The 12,948-nt window shown below is 39.2% G+C and overlaps 1 long non-coding RNA gene across 1 annotated transcript; it reads left to right on the top strand.

Annotated features, from left to right (window-relative positions):
* Positions 1 to 1,318: 1,318 nt before the first annotated feature.
* On the top strand, positions 1,319 to 12,811 carry LOC124901614 (uncharacterized). The gene is made up of 2 exons (XR_007060283.1): positions 1,319 to 1,355; positions 11,730 to 12,811. It is a non-coding gene; the product is annotated as an uncharacterized LOC124901614 (long non-coding RNA).
* Positions 12,812 to 12,948: the final 137 nt, after the last annotated feature.

The following is a 12,948-nucleotide window of genomic DNA, read 5'->3' as shown; positions in this document are numbered from 1 at the left end:
ATAACAGCAATTGTGTCACCATCTAAGTAAACTTCTGAAAATTGGAGTCACCATCTGATTAAATTTCTGATAATTCACTGCCATTCTGTTTACCGCACAGGTCAAATCAGCAAGTCAAATGGGGATTGGTAGGAATAATCACCTCTGATCTTTCAGGGGTCCTATGGTGGCACTAATTCTCTACAGTCCCTCCAGGAATGAGACACTGCTTTTGGTTTGCTTAAATTCTTATCGGTAGAATCCGTTTAGTGGCTTTTACTTGGATTTTTCTATTATAATAACCTAAGCATACAAATCAAAATGGCTGCCACTTCACTTTCACCCTCCAAATCTCATGTAAAACATCTCTTGAGGCCCACCTGAACCAGAAAGGAATTCTGGGAAGCATGGCTCAGCCTAGCCAAGTTGACAGGTAAAGCTATTTTAAACCGTTTCAAACTATGGTCATCTTTACACTTCAGCATTATGACATTCTACTATGTAATTGTATGCTGTTGTGGTACTGTGTTATCTTATTTCAAAGATAAGGAAACTGAAGCATAGAGATAAGAGAACTTGTCCAGGTTACACAGTAGGTGGGGTTGCTAGAGTTAGAGTTTATATCCAGCTCTGTCTAGCTTCAAAATCTGTGCTTGCTCTTTTTCTTTCTTTCTTTCTTTCTTTCTTTCTTTCTTTCTTTCTTTCTTTCTTTCTTTCTTTCTTTCTTTCTTTCTTTCTTTCTTTCTTTCCTTTCTTCTTTCTTTCTTTTTTGAGACAGAGTCTTGCTCTGTCACCCAGGTTGGAGTGCAATGGCACCATCTCGGCTCACTACAACCTCCGTCTCCTGGGTTCAAGCGGTTCTCCTGCCTCAGCCTCCTGAGTAGCTGGGATTACAGGTGCGCACCACCACACCAAGCTAATTTTTGTATTTTTTAGTAGAGATGGGATTTCACCATATTGGCCAGGCTGGTCTTGAACTTCTGACCTTGTGATCCACCCACCTTGGCCTCCCAAAGTGCTGGGATTACAGACATTAGCCACTGCGCCCAGCCAACCTGTGCTCTTTCTGCTACACTCATGCCTTAGGGTGTGCGCATCTAATGGTATTTGCAAGGACTTCACATGGTACATGGACACAATGTTCAATCATATAATAAGGAAAACATAAGTTATCTTTATTATTGTGTCAATGAAAAAGTCTCAAGTTAGAACCAGTATGTTTCTAATACCTGTCACCTCACTAACCCTTTCTTTTTTCTTTTTTTTCTGAGACAGAGTCTCACTGTGTCCCCAGGCTGGAGTGCAGTGGCGTGATCTCGGCTTACCACAACCTCCACCTCCCAGGTTCAAGTGATTTTCATGCCTCAGCCTCCCAGGTAGCTGGGATTATAGGTGCACACCACCACACCTGGCTAATTTATTTCATTTTATTTATTTTTTTAGTAGATGGGGTTTCGCCATGTTGGCCAGGCTGGTCTCAAATGCTTTACTTCAGGTGATCTGCCCACCTCGGCCTCCCAGAATGTTTTTCTCAATCATGCATCTTTTCCTGGGCAAGACCACTTTCCTTGAGAAAGAAAACATGTTTTATCCATAGCTTCAGTAATGAGGCCACTAAAATATTAATTTTCTGAGCATTCTTAAACATAACTGAATCAGCTTCAATTTGCCTGGATAGATAGACATTTTAGTGGCTTATAGCAAAATGTAATAAACTGAATAACTGTAGGCTTTAATGTAATCTCACACAATCCTATTACATCCCAATTACTTATTTGACCTTTTTAAGGATAATTCCTGCCTAAACACACACAATCCTGCAATTCCGAATGTCTTCTTCCCGTGTTGTTCCAAGGCAATCAATAGATCAGAAAGAATTAATATCTTGCTGTGTCCTCCATTTGTAATATACACTGTCCCAGGAAGGTATAATGCATCCCTCCCAGGCATAATAAATGTTTATTGAGCACTGTTTGTGAATAGCTCTCCAATTTTCATTCCCACGAGTTTCAGGGCCATCATAACATCTTTTATTTCCCTTAAAGTAATGAACAAAGCCAGGATCAATCCTACTGCTGCTTACAAAGCATCAGAAAGGTGGGAGGGTAGCTGAGTTCAGCATAGCTTTTACACTGTAAAGAAGCTCCTTTTGAAAGTTAAACTTCAGGGACTTAGGGGGAAGGGTGAGAGAGGGGATGAGCGATAAAAGACTACAAATAGGGTGCAGTGAATACTGCTCGGTGATGGGTGCACCAAAATCTCACAAATCACCACTAAAGGACTTACGCATGTAACCGAATACCACCTGTACCCCCATAACCTATAGAAAAAAAATAAATAAATGAAAAGAAAGTTAAGTGTATAATGTATTTAGAGGTAGATGATAGGAGCAGTGAGTCTATATACAATTATGCAGATTTAGGTCTGTGGATAGAACAATCAACATGAGGTTCAGTTGTCCCCAGTCACTTCCACATAAGTGATGAGTTTGCTAAATGATTATGATATTAATGATTATGAGTAAGTGAATGTATTTATCCAAAATTAAACTACCTTTTGTTGAACATATATTATGTACCAGGTTCGGAGCCGTATCTGTGGTAAACAAAGCTACATAAAATGTATCTGTCCGTGGAGACTCTTGGTTTAGATAGGATGAAAGGTAGACTAAATGAATCATAGTACAATGAGATGGGGACAAAAATAAAAGTGAGTGCCAGTTGTGAAAGTGGCACCAAAGAGGCTGTGATGGGCTCTACTTGGAGGAGTCAAGACAGAGGGGCATAAGTGGGGTCTTGAACACTGAGTGGGAGTTATAGAAGCTTGAAACAAAGGTGAAGGGAAATGGAAACTGATTCCAAGCGGTAGGATTCATTTTAAAGTGTAATGAAGTCTTTCTAAAATTGGTACTATCCTGGAAAAATAATTGTGTTTAAGGTTTGTTAGGGCTGCATTCATTTGCAGCTTGCAGGAAGCCCAATTAACAGTGCTTTCAACAGGTAAATATTTATTTGTTTCAGGCAACAAGAATGTGATTGTAGGCCAGCTGGGTCTGGGATGACGGTTCAGTGGTGCATTTGTAAAGTAGGCTCTTTTCATATTTGCCCTCCACACGCAGTAGAGTCCAGCCTTAGCCCTCACATTTGTGTTTATGGTCAAAGATTGCTGCTGAGGCTTTGGGCTCACGGTCACATCACAATCAGGAAGATGGAAGAAGAAATGAAAGGCAGAAGGGATGTCACACCACCAGGTCTTTTTTTTTTTTTTTTTTAACCAACAACAAAAAAGCTTTCCTGAAAGTTTCTCCAAGAGATTTCAACTAATGTCTTTGGCTAGAAAGAACTTGGCCATCCCACTTAAGCACAAGGGGGTCTGAAAACCAAGAATGTTAGCTTTCCAGACCATCACTGAGGAAGGAGAGAGAAAGAGAGAAAGAGAGAGAGAGAGAAAGAAGAGAGAGAGAGAAAGAGAGAGAAGTTGTTGGGGGGCTGTGGCTTGTGTGTGAATAGCTGGTTCACAGAGTATAGCAGAAGGTCTTGTGAGACAGTTCTAAGCCAAAATCACATAATTTTAGCACTAGATGTTTAGGTCTTATATTAGTCACGGTTCTCCAGAGGGACAGAACTAACAGGATATATGTATATATGAAAGGAAGTTTATTAATGAGAATCGGCTCACATGATCGCAAGAGAAAGTCCCACCATAGGCCATCTGCAAGCTGAGGAAGAAAAAAGTTGGTAGTGGATCAGTCTGAGTCCAAAAGCCTCAAGTGTAGGGAAGCCGACAGTGCAGCCTTCAGTCTGTGGCCAAAGGCCCTAGATCTCCCAGCAAACCACTGGTGTAAGTCCAAGAGTCCAAAGGCCAAAGAACCTGGAGCCTGATGTCCAAGGGCAGGAGGAATGGGAAGAAGCATCCAGCATGGGAGAAAGATGAACGCCAGAACTCACCAAGCCAGCTCATCCCACCTTCTTCCACCTGCTTTGTTTTAGCCTCACTGGCAAACAAGTGGATGGTGCCCACCCACATTGAGGGTGGGGCTTCCTCTCCCAGTCCATTGAATCAAATGTTAATCTCCTCTGGCAATGCCTTCACAGGCACACCCAGAAACAATACTTTACCAGCCATCTATGCATCCTTTAATCCAATCAAGTTGACACCTAATATTAACCATCACAGGTCTAAACATCTAAAAGAGGTAAAAACATCTTCTGAGTTCTTCATTTTATAGATGAAATAACTCACTTGCTCAGGATCACACAGGTAGCTAGTGATACGGCTGGAACTTGAATTCAGGTCATCTGGTTTCCAGTCCTGGTTTTTTTCTCATTGTATTAGTCCGTTCTCACACTGCTGGAAAGAACTACCTGAGACTGGGTAATTTGTGAAGAAAAGAGGTTTAATTGTCTCATACTTCCACAGGCTTAACAGGAAGCATGATTGGGAAATCTTAGGAAATTTACAGTCATGGTGGAAGGTGAAGAAGAAGAAAGCACCTTCTTCACATGGCAGCAGGAGAGAGAGAAAGAGTGAGGGGGGAAGTGTCACACACTTTAAACCATCAGATCTCATGAGAACGCACTCACTATCGGGAGAACAGCAAGGGGGAAACTGCCCCCGTGATCCAATCACCTCCCACCAGGTTCCTCCCCCAACACTGGGGATTACAATTCAACATGAGATTTGAGTGGGGACACAGAGCCAAACCATATCACTCCTGTACACTAAACTGCTGTGCTGAACTTAGATTATGGTTTATGTTGATCTCAAATCAAATCGTTAGTTACAAAATATTTAAAGTTTCTATAATTATTATAATCTGCATAGAAAAACAATAGCTGTAAGAAATAAAAAACTCTGGAAGAACCTGAGAAGACACCTGAGCAAATATTGGTAAAATAGCTCAACGCACTGCAGGTATCTGGTAACTTACTTATCCCTGGAAGGGAGATAAAAAAAATTCCAGGCAAGAATAAAGCTTCCCATCTTTTGAGGCACAAAGATTGAAAACAAAGTTGGTTCTTCTAAGTGGAATTCAACTAGCCTAGAAAGTGATTGTCAATTCTTTCTCCTAACCCTTCTTCAGATCTTTAAAAACAAGGTAATATTCCTCTGCAAGAAGGCTACTTTTCAGACCTGTGGAGCCTGTTCCTGAGGAAGTGCTCCTGCTTATCACAGAATGTCTAAGTGTCTGTCAAATGATAGCTTGCAGAAAGGAAGAAAATAGATGGGAAAAAAGCCCCCAAAGACACTTCTTCCCTTTGCAGTAACAAAACCTTTTGCCAAATTATTGCCTCTTATAATAATAAGAGAAGGCCACTGAAGATTCATGCTACAATTTAAACGACGGAGAACGCAGGTTATTTTATTAAAATGTGTGTAAATATTGATTTGGAAAGAAAATTATATGAAAATATTGCAATGACTCAATAAGGAAGCAAGTGTGCCAAATATAACCTTCCACTTCTAAGCATTTTGAGAGAGAAACATAATAGAAGCAGAGACACAATTCCTGTATACATTTCTGTACATTCTATCCATCATCACACATTCATGCAAATGGTTAACCAGATTGTCTGAAGTCTGTCACCTTCATGAGTCAAGGGTGTTGGTGGCTTATTCTTAAATGTATCTTTAATGTCTTTGCACCCCAGTTGCATTTTGCACTTTCAAGTAATATTTTAAAATTCGTTTAAGTTACTGTAATGTCCACTCTGAATTCCAACATTTTGAATCTCTACTCTTGAATCAACGTGGCAATTCATGGTTCCTGTGACATACTACTGATGCAGGTAGAACTTTATTATAATTCCATAGTAAAATCATTATATTTTACTTACTTGTGCTTAGCATATTTTTAAGCACCCAGAGATTGATGGATTGAATCAATTTATACATGTCTTTTCAGCATTGAAATGGTGTGCCTTGCAGTGAAACAAAATGATTCATTTTACTGAAACACTGTGTGGAACTCTAGGTAGACTTTGAATGTGGCTATATTCCTCTCATTTCATTGAGGTGAAGCCACTGAATAAATTTAAAGTGTAAATAAATTGCATATAGAATATGTATTATATGCACAACAGCAAGCATGAATCACTGCATTGATCACAATCCTAGGAATTTTACACATATTGTCAGTTCTTATGCTTTGTTTAAGTCTCTGATTTCTGGTACAGTCTTCAGTGCACTGAATGAAATGAAAAGCTTGTTTTGAGTCTCTTCATCAGGTTGGAAGGGGATGGAGTTGAGGATGCGATAGAACAGAAGCTGCAAAGTGACATGGTCCACACTGCCTGCACAAAAGACCGGGCTTTTGGAAAATGAAAAATTCCAAACATATGCATATAGAAACAGAATAATAAAATCCCAGTACCCGTCTCCAGCTATGACTAATATCCACTTATGGTCAATGTTTTTGCATTGATATTTCTCCCCACCACATGTTTTGATGCAAGACTATATTTACATTCATAGCTTTTCAGAATGTAATTCTAAAAGACTCTTAATGAACATAATCATAGTACCAACATAAAATCTGTCAAAATCAACAGTCCCTTACTATAATTAAATGATTATCCAATCCGTGTTCCAATTTTCCTGATTTCTCAAATTATATTTTGTGGTTTGTTAAAATCAGGATATGAGTAGTATTGCAATCCATTGCTGTGCCTCTTAAGAGTCATTTAATCTAGATTCTTCTCTTCTATTTTTCTCCTGCAATGTATTTGTTGGAGAAGATGGGCTGTCTGTCCTGTCCCACAGTCTGTATTTTGTGGAGTGCACCTGTGGCATTGTTCCCTTCTCCTCCATATTTACTATAATCTAGTAGTCAGATCTGATGCTTTGATCAGTTTCAGGTTTGATTTTTGCTTGACAAGACCAGTGTGCAGGTGCCACTGTGTTCTTCCATCATGGGCATGGAAGTGGTCTGTCTTTTTGTGATGGTGCCATAACTCTTTTTGACAAGTTCCCATGGTACATCACGGGGATGCAGGGTCTGATGGACAATTAGTAGCTATTAGTAAGTTATAATATACCTGAATATCACAGATTGTGTGTGAGTTTCAGTCCTGAAAATAATTGGTATGCATCTAAAAAAAGTTTAGCATATTAATCACTGTCATATCTCTATTATTTTTTCTGTGTGATTTTCTAAGGTGTCCCCCAGTCCTGCTAAGCAGAAAGCACAGTTTCTCTGGGTCAAAGCCTCTTCCATGTTGCTGTGCAGAGGTCATCTCTATCTAACAGCCTCTAAGCCAGCCCAGATTCCCCTCTGCTGTCCATGGACCTTGGCTAGGACTGTATCAGGTCTTTTGAACCTCTAAATGGAAAGTCAGGGCTCCATCTCTTACTGTCTCAGGTGGCTTCTTGGCACTTAGACAAAGAGACACACTTTCCCTGCAAACCAGCTCTGCACACCAGAGAGAATCAGTCCTTCAGGCCAGAGGTCTTGAACTCTTTTCTCCCAACAGGAGGCCTCAGCTCTTTATGTTTACATACGGATAAGAGACTCCTCAAGTGCTCAAAGTTGCTAAATGAATATCTGTTCCAAGGTGACTTTCTGTTCTTCTAGCCTGAGAAGCTGCTGCCAGCTTTTTTTTTTAACCCACTAAAACAAATAAACAAAAATTCAATTCTAAGAATTTTGACTTTAACCATTTAATCCATAAATATTTATAGAACGCTGTGACACACAGAATACTGTTCTATAGCATGCATTCCAAACCTTTTAAATGAAGAAAAACATTTTACATCAAGACCCATTTTACCTACCTACCTAACTATACACACACACACACACACACACACGCCTTTGTTTCATTTAGCAAAAAAAAGTATCGCTAAATGAAACTTATTCTCTGTTTTCTTTTCCTTTCTTTCTTTTATTTTTTCCTCTTTCTTTCTTTCTTTTTCTTTCTTTCTTTCTTTCTTCCTTCCTTCCTTCCTTCCTTCCTTCCTTCCTTCCTTCCTTTCTCTCTCTCTCTCTTTCTTTCTCTTTCTTTCTTTCTCTCTCTCTCTTTCTTTCTTCCTTTCTTCCTTTCTTTTTTTCTTTCTTAAGGTGGCCTTACTTTGTTGCCCAGGCTGGAGTGCAGTAGCATGAGCAGAGATCACTGCAGCCTCGACCTCCTTGGTGCAAGCATTCCTCTTGCCTCAACCTCCCTCCTGAGTAGCTGGGATCACAGGCACGTGCCACCACGTCCAGCTAATTTTTAAATTTTTTTTGCAGAGACAGGGTCCCACTCTGTGGCCCAGGCTGGTCTTGAACTCCTGGGCTCAAGCATTCCTCCTGCCTTAGGCTCCCAAAGTGTTGAGATTACAGGCATGAGCCACAGCACCCAGCCAAAACTTATTCTCACTATGCGAGAAGCATGCTGCTACTTGCTATTCCTTCCTATTTGCTTCCATTTTATACTATGTCATTAACAAAAAAGGTGGTTAGGCCACTAAGTTGATTTTACTACTGAATAACAACTTGTAAACTGCAAATTGAATAGTACAGCTATGGGAAAACTGAGCTAATATAGATCCAGGCACATAGCAGATGCTCAATAAATATTTGTTGATATACATGATCCTTTCTCTTACAGGTCTTTGTGAGATAAGACACACACACATTAAAAATAAGGATACCATACAAGAATAAATTACATAAAGCAGCTACATGCATGAGATCTCAAGGCAGTAGCCTAAGATTAAAAAAATGAAAAGTGATGTAGATGGTAATTTTGTGAGTTAAGCTAATAAATGCTTATCCTTTACGATTGAAATCTAAGCAATTTATTTTTCATGATGAAATATCTGATATTTAGTATCAATTTGTATTTGATCTTTAGTTGTGAAACATTTGTGTCATAACTAGAGAAGTCAGCTAACTACAGTAAAGGGAGAAAGAAGAGCCCACTTATAAACTATAAAGTATAATTTTGTTTAAGCTCCAAGTCCAAAGGGTAATAATTCACTGAAAAATTTATTGAAGAATATGTTCTGATGTGTTCTGTTTTAATTTTAAAACTTAGCAAATAAGGAGACATTTAGATTTCTCAAGTGCCTTACTGTGCAACACAGTCTATTCCAGTAAATGAACTTTTATTTGCAAATATCTCAAATCTGAGTAGACTTTTTTTTCTTAAAACAGCTTAGGGATGTAGAAAATTATTTCTTCTTAAAGATCTGTAAAGATTTAGCATAAAGAGTTAAGACAGTAGTTTCTAAACTTTGTGGTATGTAGGCATCACCTGGGAAACTTTATCAAATTCTATAAAATTCACAAATGCCTGTCTTGTGCCTCTGGTGATTCTGATTAAACTATATGAGGTGCAACCTGGTGAGGGAACTTTTATTAGCTGCCCGGGTAATCTCTATGTGTGATAAAATGTGGGAACTGTGTTAAGGGAACTGCTGCCATCCTCTACCCCTAGAAGTCTTCAATATCTTATGGTGATGGCCTGTCCTTGCCTTGGCTAAGGTGTACAGATGAAAACGTTTCCGTTAAAAATACCACCCTTTTAAAAAAAGGAACACTTATACACTGTTGGTGGAAGTGTAAATTAGTTCAACCATTGTGGAAGACAGTGTGGTGATTCCTCAAAGACCTAAAGACAGAAATTCCATTCAACTCAGCAACCTCATTACTGGGTATATATCCAAAGGGATGTAAATCATTCTGTTACAAAGACACATACACATGTATGTTCATTGTAGCATTATTCACAATAGCAAAGACATGGATTCAATCTAAATGTCCATCAATGACAGACTGGATAAAGAAAATGTGGCACATATAGACCATGGAATACTATACAGCCATAAAAAGAATGGGTTTATGTCCTTTGCACAGACATGGATGGAGCTGGAGGCCATCATCCTTAGCAAACTAACACAGGAACAGAAAACCAAATACCACAGGCTCTCACTTATAAGTGGGAGCTTAATGATGCGAGCACATGGACCCATAGAGGGAAACAACACACACTGGAGTCTTTAAGAGGGTGGAGGGTGGGAGGAGGGAGAGGATCAGAAAAATAACTAATGGGTACTAGGCTTAATACCTGAGTGAGGAGATAATCTGTACAACAAACTCCCATGACACATGTTTACCTATATAAAAAACCTGCATATGTACCCCTGACTTAAAAATACAAGTTAAAAAAACTTAAGATGTTTTTATGTACGATTTCAAGAGAAGTTAAAAGATATGAACAACAACAATAGCAATAACAAAACAATAATAAAACCTTTTTTTCACATTAAAAAATCTCCCTTTTAGGATAGATGTGATATTTGAAAGAGGAGTGGCATTTTGATATTTAGGTTATCGAGCTAATCTAAAAATTCCTAGCTACTAACCTAGGAAAGTAAGTGTTTACTATGTAGGTATGAGAAGACTGTTTACTGAAAAACTATTATAAACTCCCAGATCAGCAGAATTTTATGTTTGCTTCAGGGTGATCTTATGTTTTTGTGGACCTGGGATGATTATAGAGGGATATGAACATTGTGTGAAACAGAGGTAGTTCTGGAGGTGATTCTGAAAAGTGTGTCAAAGTCTCATAAATGTGCAAAATAATTGGGTTTTTATTGAATCAGATGGGTTGGTTCATTTAATGGAAATGCCCTGAGGAAGGGCAATCCAAAGTCGAATTGAGATTGACATTTTGAAAAAGAGCAGTAAGTGTTGAATATAGCCTGGGGATTCATCACTCTCTAAGTTCTATTAATATGCTCATTTAACCAATTACAAGGTGGCAGAGTTTAATGATTGCACAGAGAATCACTTATGTGGCAATGAAAATGAAGCGCTAAGTCAGTTGTTCTCAGACTGGCTGAACATTACAATCACCTGGGGAGCCTTGAAAAGTCCCCCGGCCTCATATCAGTTACATCAGAGTCTCCGGGATGGGGACAAGGCCTCTGCACTGGCGATGCCAGTGTGCATCTGTGGGTGACAAACACTGTACCAAGTAGAGAAAACGGCAGATGCTACCCGCAGGCCTCTCTTCCTGTCATTAGAGGCATAAATGACATTACTGGGGTGGGGTGAGAGTGCATAATTACAGTGGAGTTCTGGAATTGAGAAGACCTTCTAAAAGTTAGAACACGAGGTTTCCTAAAGCATTTTCCTTTTTAGAGAATTTTTGGGAGAGGGGTTTATTATTACAAATCTTGTTTTATAGAGTGTCTCAGAGGTGATTCATAAAATTAGGGACTCTAAGATAATGAAATTTAACGTACCTGTAAGTTTCTCTCTATAGCTCTGGTATAGGCAGGAATGCACTAAATTTCTACTTGTGTGCCAGCTCCATCTGATGGGTGGTGACTTCCATGGGGATGGCACGAGAGAGATTCTGAGGCCAGGTCCAGCTGTGGCAGAATGAGTTCTGGGGTTGCTCATGACATCTGCTATGGAGGTGGAAGTGAACTGTGGAAATAGTGATGCCACATTTTTCCTGCCTTAGATATCATGAAAAGTCCTGGAGTTCTAAATTAGAAAGGGATAAATGAGAATTCCAGTTCTGCCTCTGAGATGATTTAAAAATATGTCGTAAATTCTCTGATGTACTTCCCCTAAAAAAATGGAGTCGACTTCTTCCATTGAAAGTGGGCTGGACTTAATGATTTTCTCCTAAACAATAGAATGTGATTGAGGTGACACTATGTGGCTTCCAAGGCTGAATTATAGAGGGATATGAAAAAGGATATCTAAAAATGATATCTATTAGTTTATCTAAAAAGGATAAACTTCTATTTAGCTCTCTGAATTTTGGATCATTCACTCTGAGGGAAGCCAGCTGCCATGACATGAGGATACTCAAGCAGCCTGTGGAGTGGCCCATATGGAGTGTGACTGAGGCCTCCCAGCAACAGCCAGTGTCAGCATGCCAGCTATGTGAGTGAGCTACTTTGGAAGCAGATCCTCCATCCCCAGTCAAGCCTTCCAATGACTGTGGTCCCAGTTGACATCCTGACTGCAACCTCATGAGAAATCCTAAGCTAGAATCACCCATCCAAGGCATTTTCAAACTTCTGATCCACAGAGACTGTGTGATGCAATTAATGCTTATTATCGATTTAAGCTAGAAAGTTTTGGAGTAATTCATAATACAGCAATACATAATGAATTCAGCTATTTGGTAGCTTTGTTCTCTAAGTTTTGGGTTCCCCTTCTGTAAAATGGAGATAAGTATTTTATAATGTAGTTTTGAAGATAAAATGAGTTAATAGTAAAGCCTATCATTGACTGAGTCCATGTAAATACTATTACACGATCTTGTACTGTGCTAGCTTGTGAATTAACGAGGGTGTTACAGACAACAGCCTTTGGAACTCAGGCCAACCTACACAAGCAATCCCTAAGGATTGGGAAAGGGTGGTGTTTTCAGTGATGGTTGTGGTCTTCTTGCATTGTGTAAAGTCTGTTTCTACCAATGTGGTCTTTCTTAATAGGCATTAAATTTGAATGTTATCTTCCACATGTGTAGAAATTCCTTCATTGTGAGAATTCAGAGGGGTGGCATTTAGGGCAGTTCGATCCCCTTCATTATGAGAACAAGGAACCATCATGGGATGACTCAGGATCTGGGAAGCAGTGTTGTCTACAGCCTTGGTTTATTTTTTATTTTTTATTTGGGAAGACCAGGATTCAAATATTAGCCTTTCCCATTGTCTATGTTGTTTTGGCCAAATTACCAACCTCTCTGAGCGTCTAGTATTTCATGTATGAAATGTGACTAGTAATACCTACTTTATAAGGCTGTTGTGAGTTGTATTGAATTTAAGTATGAAAGAGTATCCAGTACAGTGTTGGTATTTAATAAATGGTCAATAGAGGTGAGTAATGCTTCTTTTTGAGCCTCAAGTTGAGTTCATTCCACACAACATTCCTATGAGGTAGGTGCTATTATTATCTTTATTTTACAAATTAGGAAACTGAGGCCAGAGGCATTAGCCCAAGGCTATACAGCTGATTTA

Source organism: Homo sapiens, chromosome 7, assembly GCF_000001405.40.
Source record: "Homo sapiens chromosome 7, GRCh38.p14 Primary Assembly".
Classification (NCBI taxonomy): Eukaryota; Metazoa; Chordata; class Mammalia; order Primates; family Hominidae; genus Homo; species Homo sapiens.
This window is presented reverse-complemented; position numbering and strand designations above follow the sequence as displayed.